The sequence below is a fragment of the Homo sapiens genome, chromosome 2 (genome assembly GCF_000001405.40).
Source record: "Homo sapiens chromosome 2, GRCh38.p14 Primary Assembly".
NCBI classification, from domain to species: Eukaryota; Metazoa; Chordata; class Mammalia; order Primates; family Hominidae; genus Homo; species Homo sapiens.
In genome coordinates this window covers 182,180,848-182,202,288 of record NC_000002.12, presented here as the reverse complement: position 1 = coordinate 182,202,288, position 21,441 = coordinate 182,180,848, and the positions used below count along the sequence as shown (strand labels likewise).

Sequence of the window (21,441 nt, the reverse complement as noted above, 5' to 3'; positions counted from 1 at the left end):
TCTTGAAATCTCATGCTCTTCTTATCTCTGTCTCTTCTCTGAGACATCAAACCTTTTAGTTTGGTTGACATGTGGATTTAGAATAGTCTCAGGCCCCACTGGACTACTTTTTTTCCTCAAAGCATTGAAATACTATATAATACTGTATTTGGAATAGTTTTTCTTTAAAATGGCTAAAGTTCCTTTCAGATTAAAAATAATAATATTTAGGAATTATGACTGCAGAAGAGTTGTGGGAGTGAGAAGGGAAAGCACTAGCTCTTCAGGGAGGTGTGAACATCGTTGCCATTCTCGCTGCTGGCAACTTCTTAGATCCATGACAGTTAAAAGGTAAAATAATATCAAACTTGTGTGTGGACTTTCACATTTAAAAAGTAGCATCTTTTGTGTTCATATCCATTAAGAACTATAAAACATGGTGAGTGATTATTTATTGAAGTGTTCCACTTCAGAACAATAAATGGCTGAATGAACCTTTCTCCTTTTGGTGACTCTGCAGGGATCTTCGGAACCTAGTGATTGAAATGGTTTTATCTACAGACATGTCAGGTCACTTCCAGCAAATTAAAAATATAAGAAACAGTTTGCAGCAGCCTGAAGGGTAGGTTTTGTGTTTTTTTTGTTGTTTTTTTTTTTTTGTCATGTTAAAGTTCCAGGGGCTTGGCCTCAGAAAAGACTGTAATTGTTTCCTTTGTTTTGAATAATATAAGCATGTCCTTGGTTTGACAGGATTGACAGAGCCAAAACCATGTCCCTGATTCTCCACGCAGCAGACATCAGCCACCCAGCCAAATCCTGGAAGCTGCATTATCGGTGGACCATGGCCCTAATGGAGGAGTTTTTCCTGCAGGTGCCTCTTTCACACTCTGTGCAAATGTTTTTGGAAATAGTGACTGTGCATATTAGCGTACACCTTTTCTGTATGGAATCCAGGGCTTGTGACTTACTATTATCAACTGGCCACCTACACATTCTTGGGGGTTTCAGCAAAATTTATTAGTCTATCAGAAAGGTGTATTAAGTCTATGTAGTGTGATACATGTTTTAAAGAGATTCAAATTTTGGATCTGAGATGCTACTGTCAGGAAAGAAAAATAAAAGCAGCTAAGAATTGTTATCTGCTGTTAAGACGTAAGTGCCACAGCAGAGACAGCAAATAGCTTTCATAATAGAAAGAGTAGATAAGGATATATAACAGTTCTGCATAAATCTTGTTGGCCAGAATTTTAATGGAGGCCAAGAAATATTGCTTTAGCTGGGTGGACACATGCCTAACTGAAATAGGCAACAACAACAACAACAAAAATCTAATGTTACGTCAGAAACAAGCCCGGATAAGGATTGTGACTGGCGTTCTCTGCCACAAGTACACATCTTTTCTTTATACATGTCCCTGTTTTGCAACCCCCACAATCCAAGCTGGAGTGCTACAATACAAATGTGATGCTAACCACTCAGAGTTAGCATCAAATTGCACAAATTAAGGGCTCAGTCTTCCACAAGATTGGCTCTACTTCAGATGCCAGCTGCAAATGGGGCTGTGGGACACCAGCACTTCTGACCAGCCAGTTACAAGTTCAGTGGTTCCCACAACCCTCTCTAGGTTTGATAACTTGCTAGAATGACTCACAAAACTTCAAAAGTGCTATCCTTACAATTACAATTTTATTATAAAGAATACAATCCAGGCAGAGCCAAATGAAAAGGCCCATAAGGAAAGGTCTGGGAGGGTCTTGGATGCAGAGCTTCCTTGCTATTTCCAGTGGAGTTAGCGAGTACCACCATCCTGCCTTGTCAATGTTTTCACCATCCAGGAAGCTCTACTGAGCTTTCCTGTCCAGAGTATTTATCAAGGTTTCATTACATAGGCATGGTTGATTAAACCATTGGACATGCGATTGAACTCAGTCTCCAGCCTCACTTCCTTCCCAGATATCCCCTGGCTGGCTTAAAGTTCCAACTTTCTAATCATGTGGTTGGTTTCTGGTGACCAGGCCCTATGCTGAAACTATCTAGGGGATAGGCCCAGAGTTGCCTCATTAGCCTAGAGTCTCCTATCACTCATGAAATTCCACAGGTTTTTGAAGCTCTGCTAGGAACTGGGAATGAATATCAGATAATTTTGTTTTATTATATCACAGTCCCACTTAGAGAAGTTCTTTTATTTCTGTATTTTCAGATTATTTCATTTCTCAGTATTGTTCTTTATTTTGAAAGTTTGTTCATTAATTTTATACCTGTTCTGAAGATATAAACACCAAATATATTACTATGTTTGGATGACTCACGTTTCTGTCTCCCATTGTTGATGGACATAATGTGTGGTATTTTGAAAGTTTGTTCATTAATTTTATACCTGTTCTGAAGATATAAACACCAAATATATTACTATGTTTGGATGACTCACGTTTCTGTCTCCCATTGTTGATGGACATAATGTGTGGTTTCATTTTTATATTGCAATTTATATTCCTAGAGAAAGTTACTGAGTAGCATCTTACTAAATTCAAATATTTTGGTCCTAAAAATAGTATTGAAAAATATTTTAATAATTTGCTTTGTGCTAAAAAAATACACTAAATGTAAAAACCTACCAAATTCTAAAGGTCAACTGCTTATTATGGTCAATTAAAAATTATAATGATATACTCAATCAATCAACCAGAGATCTTTCTGTATAGCCCTGTGACATTAGAGATGCAAAAACAGAAAAATAAAGAGATACAAAGATTTTTCAGGTTAAGAAGAAATTTTTAAATATCTTAAGTTGAATGATTTTGAAAACATAATATTTGAAAATTGTTGGATGCAACTGAAGCAGTGCTTAGGGGAAATTTTATAGCTTCACATACTTACATTAGAAAAAAAATGTGTAATAAAGTAAGTTATATCTGTTTCACCTTAAGAAGCTAGAAATTAAGAAAATTGAATCAAAATAAGTTGATGGAAGGATATAATAAATATAAAAGCCAAAAACAGTGAAACAGAACAAAGACAAACAATAACAAAAGTTAATGAAGATAACAGTTGGCTCTCCGAAAAAGTAATGAAATTACTTGCAGGATCAAAAAGAGGAAAAAACTATAAATGAAAGAGAGAATATCATTATAGAGCCTGTATTCATCAAAAGGGTGAGGAATATTATGCACAATTTATGCCAATAAAATTGAAAACTTAGATGAAATTGTCAAAATTTTTGACAGATATAAATTACCAAAACAGACACAAGAAAAAATCATGTAGTCTGAATATTCATATATCTGTTTCAAAAGTTGAATTTGTACTTTAACTCTTCTTATGAAGAAAACTCTAGGCTTAGATGACTTTAATTCTTATTTCCGATTTCAATTCTCAATATTCAATTCAATTGAGAGATGGAGAATTTTCTCAAACATTTCAGGAAGAAATAATGCCAGTTTTACACAAATTCTTTTATGACATAGAGGAAGAGGAAAATTTGACAGCATAATTCTCGACATTACCTGACAAAGACTTTTCAAGTAAAGAAAATTACACATCCACATCTGCCATAAAACTGAAAGAGAAATTTTTTTTTAATTTTTAAAATTTTTAGCAAATCAAATCCAGCAATTTAGTAAGATAGTGCATATCATATCATAACTTGAGTCAGTTTAATATTAAAAAATTAAGGTAATTCACCATATTAAAGGAAATAAAGGAAAAAATATATTAATTATCAACCCTATAGATATGCAAAATGCATTTGACAATATTCGACAGACATTAATTATAAAAACTGTTAGTAAACTAGAAGTAGAAGACCTTTCTCAACCTGATCAAAGGTCTATAGCGAATGTGATACTTCACAATGAAATACTGAACATTTTTATTCTAAGATCATTATAGGTACTCTTACCACTTCTATTCAACATTGCATTTGAAGTTCTAGCCAGTGTAGGAAGGTAATAAAAAACAAAGTATAGTTTGAATAAAAATAAATAAAACTGTTATTTGCAGAAACATGAGCATCTGCATAGAAAACCTCAAGAGATCTACAAAAGGCTACTTACTAGAATTAATAAATGAGTTTATTAGTTGTAGAATCAATTGTGTTTCTGTATGCAAGCTGCAAACAATTTGAAAATAAAAATTGAAAACAGTATGCTTTATAACAGCATAAAATAATAAAATTTTGGGGGAAACCTTTAATTAAATGTATATGAAACCTCCACACTGCAAACCACAAAACATTTTTGAGAGAAATTTTAAGACCTATATAAATGGAGAGATATGTTAATGACTGAAAGACTCAATATTTCTAAGATGTCAATTCTTACAAATTTTTAATAAATTTAGCATAATCTTTATCAGAAATTGTAACAGGCTTATTTGTAGAAGTTGAAAGGCTGATTCTAAAATCTGTATAGAAATATAAGAGTCTAAGGCAGCTAAAACAATTTTGAAAAAGATTAAAGAAGTTGGAGGACTTACACTTCCTCCTTATGTGAGTTAGTATAAAGCTACAGTGATCAAGGCACTGTGTTATTGGCATAGGGCATAGGGCTAGGCAAATAGATCATTAAAATAGAGGAGTGATTTCAGAAACAGGCTCATATATATAATGTCATGTGATCTTTACAAAGGCACCAAAACAACTACATGGGGAAAGGAAAGTCTTTCCACAAAAGGAAATGGAACAGCAATTAGTGAATGTATGGGAAGAAAAGGAAACTTGTCCCCTACCTACACCTTAACACAAAAACTAATTCAAAATTAAGGAGTTTAAGACAAAACCTAAAACTATAAAGATCTTAGAGGAAAACGCAAGAGAAGATCTCTCTAATCTCGGGGGTAGGTAAATATTTCTTAGAGAAGACACATAAAGCATTACCCATAAAAGAAAAAAAAAATGAAGTGGAAAAAAGCAAAACTCAAAACTTCTGATCTTCCAAAGGCACTACTAAGAAAATGCAAACCATAGACTGAGAGAAAATATTTGTACTACAAATATCTGTCCAAGGACTTGTGTCCAATTGCATATAGAACTCCAACAAATCAATAGTAAAAAGAAAATCAGGCCAATTTGAATGGATATTTTATAAAAGGAAATGTACAAGTAGGTAATACTTACATACAAGTATGTTCATTTTCTTTACTTATCAAAGAATTATAAATTAAACCATAATGAAATATCATATAGCCCCATGAGAATGACTAAAATTAAAATAATTGAAAATATAAGGTGTTACCAAAAATGAGGAACAACTGGAGGTATCATACATACATCACAGGTGGGAGGATAAATTATTACAATCACTCTGGAAAACTACTGGATATCATCTACTGAAGTTAATATGAAGGGATAGTTAATATCCCTTAGGACCCAGCACTTTTACCCCTAGATAAATGAGTATTTATGCCCACCAAATGTCTTATATAGGAGTAGTCATTATACTACTACTTAAAAAAACTCAATGCTAGAAACAGTCCAAATATTCATCAAAAATAGAAATGGATAAAAAATAAATCATGGTACAGTCATACAATGGAATATCCAGCAACAATGAAAAATAGACTAATGATACAAATGACAATAAATCTCAAAATAATACTATAAACCAATTTATATGAAGTTCAAAAATTGGCAAAATTAATATATGGTGATAGAAATCAGAACAGTAGGTGCCTATATGGGTTAGGATTCCTTGGACGAGGTTAAGGCAACTTTCTGGGGGTAATGGAAATGCTCTATATCTTAATCAAGTATTATACAAGTGTTCCTGTTTATACCCTTCAGATTTGCCCATAAATTTCCCTTTAATTTTTTTTAAAAAGAGTATATCATAATGAAGGTAGCTCATCTCTGACTTAAAGAAGACCCTAAAAAAATTACTGTGGGAAAAAACAAAACTAAAATCCCAGAGACTCCTGAAGATTACCATTAGATCTCCAAATAATATCACGATTTGTATTATCCTTTTGTTTTACTGATTTCAAAACAGACAAAGAATACCTGACAGGATCATGAGATTAGTAAATTCAATGAAATTGAGTTCAGATCTGTTGAAAGTTCACCAATTTCTGGATTTTTAAAAGTAAACGATTTTCAAATCCCCTTCAGAAACATATGCAGCAAAACAGAAAAATGTGGAGCTAAAGGTCAAAATAATTAAGTTTATACTGCCAACAAATATGTCTTTCAAGCAAAACAAGTTTTTCTTTGTGAAACTTAAACTGAAATATGATATTAATTCCAACAGGTAAAATGTTTTCTTGCATTGAACTAACTAAATAAATCCCATATTACTCTCACTTATTCTTAGTCATACTGCATAATGTACACCTTTGGAGGTAAATAAGCAATGAACCTGAAACTCCTTGCTGTATGCATTTCTCTGATTTGACATAAGATATTGAACTGTGTCTATGTATCTATGCATATGTCCTAGAAATTAGCAGGACTGCAGTGGTTCTTGTATGTTTTATTTTTGTTCATCCTCACATAGCCATCTGTAAAACTGTCACTTTGTCAGACCCACAGTACTGATACCATTCTGCTCTGCATTTAGCCAAGGTGACTGGGTTTTTCATCTCGGACAGTGAAAACAGCACTTTTACAAAGCAATTTGCAAATATATGTCTTCATTCCTTTGGAAGGTACTAAGAAGCTAAATACTGTGTCTTAAATTCCACTGGCTGTGCTAGAGATTTTGAGGTAAATCAAAAGAGGTCTGTCCAGAGCTCATCATGGTGCTCAGCTACAGTTTAAATGTAAACATCTTGTGTTTCTTGTTAAAGACTGTATTTTATGTACATTGGTCAAACATAAGAAGCCTAATAATGCAAATTAGAGAGATAATTGGACTTGACTTCAGAAAACTCAAGGGTAGGCCCTAGCTTCTCATTCTTCCAGGAGTGGGAGACATGAGTCTTCCCCTTCCTGTCTCTATACACCTTCTTACCTTTTCCCATCCTGCCTACTTCCCAGGATGATTGTGAGGAGCAAAGTGATAGAACAAAAGTAAGAGGGCTTCAAATGTGAGGAATTGGTGGTATTTGTTATCCTGCTAGTCTATTTTAAGCTTTATACTTTCCGAGGCAAAGTATCAGTATACTACACCATTGCTTATGAAGTATTTTGTTGTTTGATAGTTACTTAACGCTGAATTTCTAAAGATCTGGGCACAATTTAAAAGCACATTTCCAACACAATCATCAAGTTTAAAAAGTAACCAATTAAGAGAAGTATTTTCCTTTTTGATCTGCAGAATGTAATGCTAGACTTGCAATTCCTTCTATTGGTTTTGAACAAAATTAGAGCCTGGATAGAAATTCAAAAAATCAGAAAAGTAGCAAAGGAAAGAGCTGATTTTTAGAATTTTTCAAGAGCAACCTTTCAAGAAAGGTTCGTGTGTGTGTGTGTGTGTGTGTGTGTGTGTGTGTGTGAATATTTCAGAAAAATGCAGAGAAATTTTGTGATGTGTTAACTTCTAAATCATTTTCTTATTAGTTTGTCTACCGAACTCATTTTATTTAACAAATGGACTCAGACACTAAGAATTTTTTAAATGCTGTATATTTCTGGAAGACAAGCTATTTGTATTATTCTTAAAAATCCCATCAACGTTATCCCATTCTTTAGTGCTACTACTTTAGTTTCACCCTCTAAAGCCGTGAGAAACTAGCCAGAGATCAGAATTGTATCCAGAATTTGCAGTCTTGAGAAACGCTGATTTCTGACTCTTGAATAAGCTGCTAATGGTAAAAGGCAGTAGAGCGAGTTCTCATTTCCAAGGCATTTTCGCAACAAGCCTGTGATATTTATTAATACAATTAATGTCTCCTCGAGTTTTCATGCAGATCAACACACCTACTGACAGTAATGGGTAGATTTGGAGGATGCTGCTTTATTTTAACTATGACTGATAGGAGAGAGAGATCAATATCAGCCAAAAAAGTAATCATTGGTAAAAGAAGACAGGTTTTTGCTTTTTATTCTCCTCTTGAACACACATGTCAGGTTGGCAAGATAAGAAGTCAATGCAGTTAATTTTTTTACAAAAATAGTTACTTCCATCAAAATGTGTTTGTATTTTAAACTAAATAACAATAACTACGTGGATTTTTCCCTTCTTCAACTAGCTGTTTTGTGACACATGAAAAAAATCTATATTTGAACAAAATCTGCATTTATTAATCATTATTACCTTGTTAGCCAAGAAGAAAAAAATAATTAGAAATGCAAGTTATTTGGAAGGAAAGGTCAAAATGTTTACTTTACCTTGAATTGTATACAGTCAGGCCTCTCTATTTTTAAATGTTGCTAGAAGTAGTATAAAGTGTGTTATTTCAAAATAAATTTCATTGTCCATAGTAATACAAATGTACTTAGTCCATTCTCAGCCAAGGATCTGGCTTTTCAAAAAAATCATAAACATAACCCCTAAAATTGCAGAAATGAAAAGAACTGTAGCTATGAGCCAAGATAACTTTAAATGTAAAAAAGTAAAGCTTTTAGTTTCAAGAGCCATAAAAGTACTATAAACACCGATTACACCAGGGGTTCTAATATTCCATAAAATATTTATAACATTCACAGAAATATAGTTATATCAGACCAATATTTTACTGAAAGTGAATGTATTAGTTGCTGTAATTATTAAATGCTTAAATGTTTTTCGTGGCGTTCTTCGAATTTAGAAGGGCCCATTTGTAGAAGTAAAGAAGGGTCATTAGAGGGCCTAAATTCCTTAAATTTTCCAAATAAGGCTAGATTAGTGCATGCTCCTCTCCTCTCCCAATCAAATTCTCTATAGAACCAGTGGTCTCTCAGATTTCACCCTCAGCCTTAGAATGTCTCCAAAGGCTGTCCTTAGGAGGAGTGTCTCCTAAGCCCCTGTCCCTGTGGTCAGGGGATTCCTGCATATTTGTTATCGACGTTGCTTCTTTCTCCAAAATTGAAGTTTCAATGAAGAGTTTTCTCAAGATTTCTATACTTTACCCTGTCTTATCTTCTTCATTAAAACAAAACAAAACAAAACTGGCCAGGCGCGGTGGCTCACGCCTGTAATACCAACACTTTGGGAGGCTGGAGCAGACGGATCACAAGGTCAGGAGTTCGAGACCAACCTGGCCAATATGGTGAAACCCTGTCTCTACTAAAAATACAAAAATTAGCTGGGCATGGTGGCAGGTGCCTGTAGTCCCATCTACTCGGGAGGCTGAGGCAGGAGAATCGCTTGAACCCAGGAGGCGGAGGTTGCAGTGAGCCGATACCATGCTACTGCACTCCAGCCTGGGCGACAGAGTGAGACTCCTCTCAAGAAAAAAAGAAAAACAAAAACAAAGCAAAACTATAGAAATTTTTTTGGTTTCAGAGAAATGCAAAAAACAAACAACAACAACAAAAAGGTGCTGTTAGGTCAATGGATTTCATACCTTATTAATGGCTGTCAGAGCACTTTACAATGGTAGGAAGGCATTTAAAAACAATTACTAGTTCTCTTACAGACTTTCAGAGAAGAAACCTGAAGGATCTCCAGGGAATTGTAAAGACAGGTATAAGCTGTGGGGCCTGAGAACCTCAGGCTGCCTTGAGTTTCCATTTCTATGGGACTAGTTTTTCTACTTACTCCTCATTTTTAAAAGTGTATTTTGGCCCCCTGAAGGCAGCATCCTCAAATGACAGCGAAACCTCTAAGAAAAATATAAATTCTTCTTTCACAATGCTTATTGCGATGACCTCTGCTTTTACCTTGATGGAAAATAAATATTCCTTATCCTGGGACAGAATGAGGAAATTATAAAGGTGGCCAAATCTATACTCAGAGATTCTAACATTCTCTTTATACAAAGTTCTAGTTCCTTCATAGTTTACCTACAGGGCCCCCTACTAATCTTGCACTCATGGCCTTTATTCACCCTAAAGAGTAAATAATACTTTGAAATATTTATAAATAAATTAAATAATTAATGTACTTTAGCATTCAATGTGCTTTGACAGTGAAAATTTAATATTCTAAATTAATTGTGAGGTACAGGAAGCAAATAGAATATAAAATCTCTTGCTCCATCTGTAGGAAGGTCATCCCTGCATATATCTGTCAAATGCCTAAGCCCTATAGGAAATATGTTGCCATTCAACATTCTATAAAATTTAGCTCAAGAAAGTGGCTGGGCACAGTGGCTCACGCCAGTAATCCTAGCACTCTGGGAGGCTGAGGCAGAGGGACTACCTGAGGTCAGGAGTTCGAGACCACCTTGGCCAACATGGTGAAACCCCATCTCTACTAAAAATATAAAAAATTAGCTCAGCATGGTGGCAGGCGCCTGAAATCCCAGCTACTTGGGAGGCTAAGGCAGGAGAATTGCTTGAACCTGGGAGGCAGAGGTTACAGTGAACCAAGATTGCGCCATTGCACTCCAGCCTGGGCAACAAGAGCGAAACTGTCTCAAAAAAAATAAAAAAATAAAAAAAAAAAGAAAGTAAATCATCATAATGCCTTTCTCAGGCCAAAGTTATCATTTTGGGGCCAAAGAGCTTGTACCACAGAGTATAAAAATACATCTATTACATTTGTGTCCTTAAATACCAGATAGCAGCATCTTGACAAAAAAAAAAAAAAAGTTAAATATAGCTTAGCAGCATTTAATAGATACAATCTTATAATATTTAGGGTGGTGCAAAAATAATTGTGGTTTTTGCAATTTTAATTGCAAAAGATACAGCTGACTGTATCTTCTGATTCTAAGACTACTGACAATTTTAATTGCAAAAACCACAATTACTTTTGCACCAACCTAACAAATACACAAAAGAATAAAACGCAGTTGTATCAGCATATGTTAAATAAGCATCTCTAATATCAGGTTCCCAAAAGCCTATCGGTAGCTTTATTTCTATTTTATTTCATCAATAGTAATATTAGTATTTATATTTTAACATAAATGATTGATGACATTATTCTTGCACCTTATCCTCAACATGTTAGAAACCAAATCAATAATAGTATTCAAATCTTTCCCCCACCCAGATCATCTGGTTTCCATTAGTGGCATCAACAGACTCCTCCTTTCCATTCGCACTGGAAGCCAAGGAGTCATCCTCAACTCACCCCAAGTCATCTCTCATACTGCAGACAAACTAATCTTTCAAAAGTGGAAATCCTTTCTTGTCAATTCCTTGCTAGGAAAAAAGAGGGAGAAAAAGATGATCCCTCTCTATTACATGCTAAATTAAGCACTACTTCAATTTCCTGTGTTTTAAAACTATTCAATGTATGCATTAGACATCATAAATACCTTTAATTTGTACATATTGCATTCATGTTGTTGCTATTCTAAATTATGGATTTTTTTTTCTTTTTTTTGGGGGGATGGAGTCTTGCTCTGTCACCCAGGCTGGAGTGCAGTGGTGCAATCTCGGCTCACTGCAACCTCTACCTCTTGGGTTCAAGTGATTCCCCTGCCTCAGCCTCCTGAGTAGCTGGGACTGCAGGCACATGCCACCACACCTAGGTAATTTTTGTATTTATAGTAGAGACGGTGTTTCACCATGTTGGCCAGGATGGTCTCAATCTCCTGACTTCGTGATCCATCTGCCTCAGCTTCCCAAAGTGCTGGGATTACATGTGTGAGCCACCGTGCCTGACCTAAATTATGTTTCTTATTAGCTAAACTTAATGACTACTAAGTGTCAGGCACTGTCTTTATGCTTCATATAAATAATCTTAGATAACTTCAGGATAGATACTATTACATCTATTATATTTTATCCCTAAAACAAGTAAATCAAGATCACAAAATTAGGTAACAGATAAGGAGAATTCATTTCAGCAAAGGCTGTGCTGTGTCTGAAGTAACAGCAATAACCCCTAGACAGCAGCGATTCAGCTGACTGTATCTTCTGACTCTAAGACTAGTGGCATTAATAATTCCCTTCCATCTGTCCTTTAAGCTGAGTATAAATCACAATTTCAAATGGAAATAGTGTTATTATTATCCAGAGGAATTAGGGGAGTTACTGGCAGAGGTCACAGAAATTCTTATTCCTTGTTTTCTCTGAGTTATGACATAGTGAAATGTTCCTGTTTGTAACTATTTTCCTACTTCTTTGATGGCCATATCTAGATTTTCCTCAACAATTCTGATTCTAGACTTTCTGTCTATAACTCTCATAATCAAAGGCATGGTTTAGGGGAACTGCTCTAGAAGATATTCTCAAACAGTTGTAAAGCTACATGTTGACATGATGTTGTAAAGATTAGCATAGAAAGATGTTAATGGAAACAGAGTGAAAGGAAACCGTGGAGTCCTTACGTATTTTATCCTAAGTTATGGACTTAATGATGCAAGGCTGGTGTTGCTCATGAAGGTATACAGCCAATAAATTAGGAGAAAATAGAACCTAAAATGTTCTTTCAAATGGCCAGGAAATTGAAATGAACAAGAACAAGGAAGTATCCTCTCCTCTTTCTTTCATAAGCACATCCCCTTTAATGCAAAGGAAAGAACCAAAGTTTAATAAACCTTGTGATATTAGAGGTTTGACCAGAACAGCAACCTTTGTTTTAGAAGATGAAAATTTAATTACTTCTCATGAAGTAAAACCCCAATATAAATGGAATTCTTTAACATATGTGCTCAATTAATCTATTTTAGATGAGATCAAATAATAAAAAAATTGATATTTCAATTTTCTCTGAGAAGAAAACATTAAAATAAGTTTATGCACACTGAATGTAAGAATGTTGAAGAAATTCCTCATTATATGTTGTGGAAGATTTAATAAAACTTGGTTAATGGATAGAAAGGTGTTTCACATCATATACTTTTAATTTTGAAAAACAGTTCCGTCACAAAATTTTGATAGTAAAGGTCTGTTGATATACTTGGCATAAATAAATTAACTTGGATTGTTAATTAAATGTCAGATAACACATAAGATGGCTAGTTATTTTATGGTGACTTTGGAAAATTCCAAAAGCAAATGTTTGTTTCTTAAAAGTCAAGGGATTGTAATGCCAAAGCAAAGTCTCCAGGTACTGAAAACATTCCTCATTTTTCTCCCTGCAAAATGTCCCCAAATGGAGACCATCCAAGAAAAATTATATAAACTTGGACCATAGCTTTTGGTTTTATAAATAAGAAAAAAGTATTGCTAATTAAGAAATGAAAGATGTGGCTTTTCTAGGCTTTATATCTTAGGTTGCTCATTATTTTAGCTTCTCCAACCCAAGTCTATATTAATGTGCTTTTCTTTCTCCAGGGAGATAAAGAAGCTGAATTAGGGCTTCCATTTTCCCCACTTTGTGATCGGAAGTCAACCATGGTGGCCCAGTCACAAATAGGTAATTCTGATGATTTGTGGTGGTGGAAAGTGAGTGTGTGCTTGTCAGTTTTCAAATGGGTAAACGATGTTGTTCAAAGGGGTAACTTGCATGAAAACCTCACTCCATATTCATGATATATTTGATTTTTAAATGGATCTATGTGGTGCTGAATAAGACTTATTGAAGCATTTTCACAAAATGAATTCAATAAAGCAACATTAGTAAATGTAATTGTTATCGTGGTTGTAATCCTTTTACAAAATATAAAATTTTCTTGTGTGGGAGACCATTTTATGTTGTTTTGTTGCTGATTATTGTTTTCTGTAATTTAATTCTTTAGATATATAGGTCAACTCAATGAAAATGTTAGTGCACTTGTTCTATCACTAAGTTTCCATGGTATGCTTAATATAGTAGTGCACATTTCATTTGGAAAAATATTCTGTCATGATGTGAATAGATTAACCAACAACAGGAAATTTGCAAAATGATAATGCTCCCAACCACATTCATTCTTATCATCTGTATTTGTGTTGGGGACTTCAAGTCCAGTCCATTATTAAAACATGTGTTGCATGGCTCAAATACTTGTAATAATTATTCCCTAAGCCAGCATTTTTGTTACTGAACAATATGATCAATAAACACAAGGATCACTTCTTAGCTGTGTAGTTATGCTCCAGCACCACCCATCACAAAGCGTTGGGGAAAGCTGCCTGCTCTGACCTTTTCCCCTTCCCATCCAAGTTTCAACAGCTGTTTTTCTAGAGACCATAACACAGGTGCCTATCCTTGCTTAGTAAGTGTAAACGTGGCAGGCTAAGGACCTGATGTGGCAAGCTAAGAATGGAAGTTTCTGAGGCTTGTTGCTGTAATGCAAATTGCTGCCATGTTAGTAGAGGTGATGCCCCAGTTGACAGTCTACACATCTCAGGCATTTAAGAACATAGAACTGGCTGGGTGCAGTGGCTTATGCCTGTAATCCCAGCACTTTGGGAGGCCGAGGCAGGTAGATCTCGGGTCAGGAGATCAAGACCATCTTGGCTAACACGGTGAAACCCGTCTCTACTAAAAAATACAAAAAATTAGCCGGGCGTGGTGGCATGCACCTGTAATCCCAGCTACTCGGGAGGCCGAGGCATGAGAATCACTTGAACCCAGGAGGCAGAGGTTGCAGTGAGCCGAGATTGCACCACTGCACTCCAGCCTGGGCAACAGAGTGAGACTCCATCTCAAAAAAAAAAAAAAAAAAAAAAAAAGAACAAAAAAAGAACATAGAACTTAAAATAGTACCCTAGGTGGTCAATTAACACTGATTTAACTTGAAGGCATCCATTAAAACTACTGAAGTTTTATTAAATTAAAAATGTGCCTTATTATATACTATAAGTAATCCAGTTACTTGAAATGTGAATTACTTTTATCCAAGCATCTGATGGACAATCTTTAAATGTGCATATTTACAGGACATTATCACTTAAAAAGCCTACCTCCAGCTATTCTCCTATATTCAGGTGGTAGTCCATTGCTCTCAGAAGTGTTTCCAACAACAATTCTTGACTTGAGGCACCCACAGCAGTCCTGGGATCTGGGATATTGCCATGTACACAGACCTTAGAATAGGTTGTTGTCTCCTCCTCTGCCTAAACATGGGATGGAAAATGCTCCCAGAGGACAATGCCCTTTTCTCTGTGTGTCATTTTCTATCTTGATGAGTACTTTAAATGTAAAAGTCTTCATTCAGTACTGACATCTCAAAGTGGTGGGATTAATGCTGTCTCCCAGAGATGTTACTTTTCTCTTCACTGATTTGACAGAACACACACACATGCTGTGAACTAACACTTTACATCCAGAGAATAATAAACAACAATTTGAAATATTAACACACTGGCAGAAAGCTCTGACTGATATAGTAAGAAACAAAAAGTAATTGTCTTCCTGTTACCTGAGAAAAACCTTCAATTATTTAATTTCTTTGGAGCTTAGATATGATTTCTTGTTAGTAAAGAATAAAATCCAAAATGCACATGATGTGCTTTCAAAAAAGATAATGATCCCTGGTGTTGAGAGAGGAAACTATAGTCACTCTCATTGGATCTAAATGTATTGTTAGCAATCGTATATTATATAAGGCTGAATAGTAAATAGAAAAGCCAATATACTTGAGTTAGCAAGCTTAAATTGTGTCACTTCCATGGCTTCAAGTATTATTTTATAGAGCAGTTAAACCATCTCTAAAGACTGTTATTAGATTAAAACAATACAAAGGGTAAGCAGAACCAATATTTTAGTTGATTCTTGCTATCCCAGGATTGTCAGAAGCTCTTCATTATTTCTGATTTCAGAATTCAGGAAATTGTAACACTTGAATTTATCTCTCTCTCTTCTCATTTTGGCTTTTGTAGGTTTCATCGATTTCATAGTAGAGCCAACATTTTCTCTTCTGACAGACTCAACAGAGAAAATTGTTATTCCTCTTATAGAGGAAGCCTCAAAAGCCGAAACTTCTTCCTATGTGGCAAGCAGGTATGATATTTTCTTTTTTGCATTATTTTTCATCTTTGTGGTGTTTAGTAACACTTTCCTTAATGATTATATTTCTCACATCTAGGCAGAGAATTCTCACAAGAATTATTAGGGAGTATTGCCACCTAGTGGCTTTATATTATATTGCATCTGCCTTTGACAACTGAAGTTTAATACACAAAATATGAAATACTAAGTAAGGTGTGTACTAAGGAGAATCCAGTGTGGGGAGGGAGAGAAAGGAGATGAGCAGCTGCCACGTGCTCAGAACTGGGACTGAGCATCTACTATCCTGCTTTTCTAGTCGGTTTTGTAAAGTTTTTCAGGTTTTCCTTGTTCACCCCATATCCTGATGGTGTTTTTTGGTTTCTTTGGTTGTTACTGTTAGCTCAACCACCATTGTGGGGTTACACATTGCTGATGCACTAAGACGATCAAATACAAAAGGCTCCATGAGTGATGGGTCCTATTCCCCAGACTACTCCCTTGCAGCAGTGGACCTGAAGAGTTTCAAGAACAACCTGGTGGACATCATTCAGCAGAACAAAGAGAGGTGGAAAGAGTTAGCTGCACAAGGTAGTGTTGTTTATGAGGCCTTACTGCCATCTCTCTCTGTCTTCACTTCTCCTCTAAGAGTTTGGATTACTTCTTCTAGATTTCTTCTTCTATAGAATATGTAAGCCCTTGATGGTATTGGGAATTTGGCTACTCTTTGATCATTCATGAGAAAGTTGGCTCATTTATTAGATAAAAAGAGGTTCTGGTTTGTTTGTGCCACATGGGCTGCAGATCTGTGTGTCAGTGGGTGCTGGCAAACTGGATACTGAAAGATGAGATAATGAAATGGTGACAAAACTTTGTGGTACCATATAAACTCCTGTGCTTTCGTAGAGGTGCTTTCCAGCCTGGATTTTACTTGGTAAGTGGCTTTTGTGTTGCATTAAGTGTGTTATCACTTCATGTCAGAGACTTGGGTGTGTTTTTTTTCTGTTTCACTAAGTTGCTTTTTTGACTCAGAATTTAGACAGGAATTGGGGAAATCATTAGTAATCAACCACCACAGCAATCGCATGGGAAGGTAGCTACAGTTATTTCTGACATATTAGCTGCTTCAAATTAATTAGTCCATTTAGTAGGTTTGTGAGTTAGTATTCAAACAGTTATTATCTTTCGTGCAGGAATTAGCTTTCATATCCAGATCTGGCCCCTGCCTCTTCTCACACTCATTCCCACAGCTCTGTCTCCCTTATACACTACACTCCCTGCACAATGGCCTCTTGGAAGTTTCTTAAAATACTCCAGGGTCTTTGTAGTTATTTTTTCAGCCAGAAATTTTTTCCTTGTGTTTTTTGCAGCTTTAATATACTCAGGAATAAACTTACTTTTCTTAAAATGGATAATATAAGATCAAAATAGAGTGTTAAATCATATTTATAGTCAGAAAGACACAATATTGAAACGTTTTCAATTATCCCAAATGTCAACCATAAATATAACATGTTTCCAGTGAAAATTCCAATACATTTTTCATGGAATTTAAGAAATTGATCCTAAAATCTATATGGTATTGCAAATACCTAAGAATACTCAAGACACTCCTGAAGGATAATAAAGTGGGAGCACTTGCCATATATCAAAATTTACTCTTATACTGAAGTAATAAATTTAGTGTGGCTGTGATATAGAGATAATAAGATGGGCCTTGGGAATAGACCAGAGAGCCAAAAATAGCACATTAATTCCTGCAGAACTTGACAGATGGCAGACACACACATTCGTATATGCAATCTTTTGTATGTTCTCACATATTTACCCTTATGATATTCTTCATTTCTTCTTGTGTGTCAGAGCTACTATTTGGTATCATTTCTCTTCACACTGGAGTACTTTCTCAAGTATTTTCTTATAACACAGTTATACTGACAAACAATTAGATTTTCTTTATCTGGGAATGTCTGTATCTTACTTTTATTTATGAATAATTTTACTTGATTTAGAATTGTTGAATGATTTTTTTTTATTTTAGCACTTTTAATGTGTAATTCTATTGCCTCTGGCTTCCATAGTTTCTGATAGTGTTGGCCAAAAATAAATTGTATTGTTGCTTCCTTGTATGTACTGAGTATTATCTTTTTCTTTCTGTTTTCTAGACTTTATTTTGACTTTCAGCAATTTGATGATGATATATCTAGGTCTTTTTTTTTTTCAGTATTCTACTTAGTGTTCACTAGCTTCTTAAATCCACAAATTAATAATTTGCTTCAAATTTAGAAAGCTTTCTGTCATTTTGTTCAATATTTTTCTTCTGCCTCTTTCTCTCTGTTCTCTCCTTCTGAGGATTGTGTTATGCATAACTTAGGATTCTGGAAATTGTCCTGGATGCTCTGGATCTCTGTCAATTTCTTTAATTGTTCTTTCTTTCTTTCTTTCTTTCTTTCTTTCTTTCTTTCTTTCTTTCTTCTCTTCCTTTCCTTCCTTCTTTTGTTCCTTCCTTCCTTCTTCATTCATTTTTGATTGGCTGCTTTCTAATGATTTATCTTCAAGTTTACTGTTTCTTTCTCTGCCACCTCAATCCTGCTGTTGATTTCACTGAATTAACTTTTTATCTCAGCTACTTTTTTCAATTTTATTATTTCCATTTGGTTCTTTTTTATAATGTCTATTTCTCTGTTGATATTTTATATTTTCATTCATTGTTAGCATATTTTCCTTTAATTCTTCAAGATTATTTTCTTTAATTTTAAAAACATATTTAAAAAACTTGTCTTGAATTTTTTGAAATCAATTTTAAAACTGACTATAAATGGCCTTTCTATGGCTCTCTAATTTCTAGGGTTTTTCTGTTAAATCCTGCTGGTTTACCCTTTACCCCAACTTGGACCCCAACCCTAGGCTGACAAAGCTTGGGGCTCTCCTCATCTAGTCTAAGTGGATTCACCATTTTATATTCAAGTAACCAGAATTATTTGCTGCCTTCCCATTCCAAGTTGATTCTACCACATCCAACAGGAAAGTTGGCTTTTGCTTCCATTCCCAGGTCAGAGTTGGAGAGGAAGATGGAGGAGTGGGAGTAACTTCAGGCAAGAAGGTCACAGGTTCCTGCTGTTTTTACCTGAATGTCCAACAATTTTTTAAGAATAAATGTTTCTCAAATTATTATGTCCCTTTGGTTGATTTCCAGAGTCATTGAATAGTTGTTTTTATTAATGCTGTCCAGTTTTACACTTGCTTTTTCATGAAGAGAAAAAACTCGACTTCTTTACATCACTATAGCAGGAAGTATTCCTCTTCACCATAGGTTTTAAGAGAATTAAATGAGTTTATTAATATAATTTGCTTAGAAGTGTCTAGAGTACTAAGCGCTATATGAGTTAGCTGTTATTACTATATTATTTATGTTTCTGCCATGTGTTCTAGAAATAAGGGTTATAGGGCTACTATATAGAAACTAGGGGTGTCCCTAATGCTGAATTCTAAATCCAGCAAAACTATTCAGAAATAAAGAAAAATAAAGACATTACCAGATTAAGAAAATCTAATTACTATGGAAATTGGGGATAATTTCTATATAGTAAACTGGTAAGGAAAGCCTTCACTGAGGAAGAAATAATTTAAATAAATACACAATGGAGGTTAGAAAGAGAATGATGGAGAGGTCTGGGAGGGTGGGTGTTAACAAATTTTTAAAACGGATTGGCTACCACATTATCTAGGAGGCCAAGCTTGCCTGACATGCCAGAAACAACAAGAAGGGCAGTGAAGCAGGAAGAAATTGGACAAGTGGGAATAATGTAGGCAATGTGATGAGTGGGGAATGTGGTGCCTGACCTTTGGTTTTGGCCCGAGAAAGACAGGAAACCAAATGTAGAGTTTTGAGAAAAAATGTTGATTGATCTGAACTGAGGTTTCAAAAGGATTACTCTGCTACAGAATGGAAAATGTGCTTTTGTTTGGGTAGTAAAAATAGAAACAAGGAGATCAGAAGGAAGGCTGTTGTTCATAACCCAGGAGACACATGGGAGCTTAGACCAAGTAGTAATGGTTGAGAGGGTCTATAATTTCTGGATATGTAAAGATTGTGGCAGTATGTGTGAGTAGAAGGAGGGTAAGCAAAAAGAGATTGGATTCTGGATATACAGATATTTTGAAAGCTGAACTGATAGGATTTGTTACCAGATTAGATGTAGGAAACAAAGTGAAGAGAAGAATCAAAAATGATGCCAGGCTTTTTGGTTTTCTTACACATTATTTGTATATAGGTAAAATTATATAATCATTTCATGGAACAATTTGGCATTCTGTAGGAAATTTAAAGATGCATGTGCCATACTTCTCGACAATTTTGCTTCTGTATTTTTACCCCAGAGAGACTTTTGTGCATATGCATCAAAGACATGTCTAAAATATTCACAGCAGCATTGTTCATGACTGCAAAATAAAGTGTAAAAAACAGTAAAATTGATTTATATACTGTAGTATGTACATATTATGGAACAGTATAAAACTGTTAAAATTTAACTAATCACCACAGGAATGAAGGACACAGTGTTGCACAAAATAAGCAAACTGCTGGGCTTTAGTAGGCGGTTTTCCCCTGACAGTGTGAAGGAGACTGAGAGGTTTGGACTAAGCAAAATTCACCACAACACAGCAAAGCGGCTGTGTCCAGACTGCTTCTCTAGATTCCTCCTCACTGGGCAGGGCATCTCTGCAGGAAATCCAGCAGCTCCAGTCAGGGGCTTACAGACAGGACTCTCAACTCCCTGGGACAGAGCACCTGAAGGGAGAGGCAGCTGCAGTCGCAGGGTCAGCGGATTTAATCTTTCCTGTCTGCTGGCTCTGAAGAGAGCAGCTGACCCTAACAAGGGGGACTCTCCCAGCAGAGTGCACCAGTTCTGCTAAGGGACAGACTGCCTCCTCAAGCAGGTTCCTGACTTTGCGCCTCTTGACTGGGAGAGACCTCCCAACAGGGATCAATAGACACCTCATACAGGAGAGCTGAAGCTTCCAGAGGAAGGAGCAGACAGCAATCTTTGATGTTCTGCAAACTCCATTGGTGAAACCTAGGTGACAGGGTCTGGAGTGGACCCCCATCAAACTGCAGCAGACCTGCAGAAGATGGGTCTAACTGTTAGAAGAAAAAGTAACAAACAGAAAGCAACAACAACAAAAGCATCAACAAAAAAGACCTCCTACAAAACCTCATCCAAAGGTCATCAGCTTCAAAGATCAAAGGTAGATAAATCCATGAAGATGAGGAAGAAACAGTGCAAAAACGCTGAAAATTCCAAAAGCCAGAATGCCTCTTCTCCTCCAAATGATTGTAACACTTCTCCAGCAAGGACACAGGACTGGACAGAGAATGAGATAGATTAATTGACAGAAGTAGGCTTCAGAAGGTGGGTAATAACAAACTCTGCTGAGCTAAAGGAGCATGTTCTAACCCAATGCAAAGAAGCTAAGAACATTGATAAAAGGTTACAGGAGCTGCTAACTAGAATAACCAGTTTAGAGAGGAACATAAATGACCTGATGGAGATGAAAAACACAGCACAAGAACTTCATGAAGCATACACAAGTATCAATAGCTGAATAAATCAAGCAGAAGAAAGGATATCAG

General features: G+C 35.6%; 1 protein-coding gene across 25 annotated transcripts in view; it reads left to right on the top strand.

Moving 5' to 3' along the window:
• PDE1A (phosphodiesterase 1A) overlaps nucleotides 1–21,441 on the top strand; it is a 576,757-nt gene that overhangs the window by 514,509 nt on the left and 40,807 nt on the right. For 18 of the 25 annotated variants that reach the window (XM_047444688.1, NM_001395258.2, NM_001395259.2 and 15 more), the window contains 5 exons: nucleotides 500–601; nucleotides 730–850; nucleotides 13,229–13,310; nucleotides 15,701–15,821; nucleotides 16,210–16,397. In XM_047444688.1, the coding sequence (XP_047300644.1) occupies nucleotides 500–601; nucleotides 730–850; nucleotides 13,229–13,310; nucleotides 15,701–15,821; nucleotides 16,210–16,397 (614 nt within the window). Of the gene's footprint in view, nucleotides 1–499; nucleotides 602–729; nucleotides 2,392–6,530; nucleotides 6,677–13,228; nucleotides 13,313–15,700; nucleotides 15,822–16,209; nucleotides 16,398–18,858; nucleotides 18,978–21,441 lie in introns of those variants that run through there. The other 7 variants (NM_001395266.1, NM_001395267.1, NM_001395268.1 and 4 more) reach the window with 3 other exon arrangements.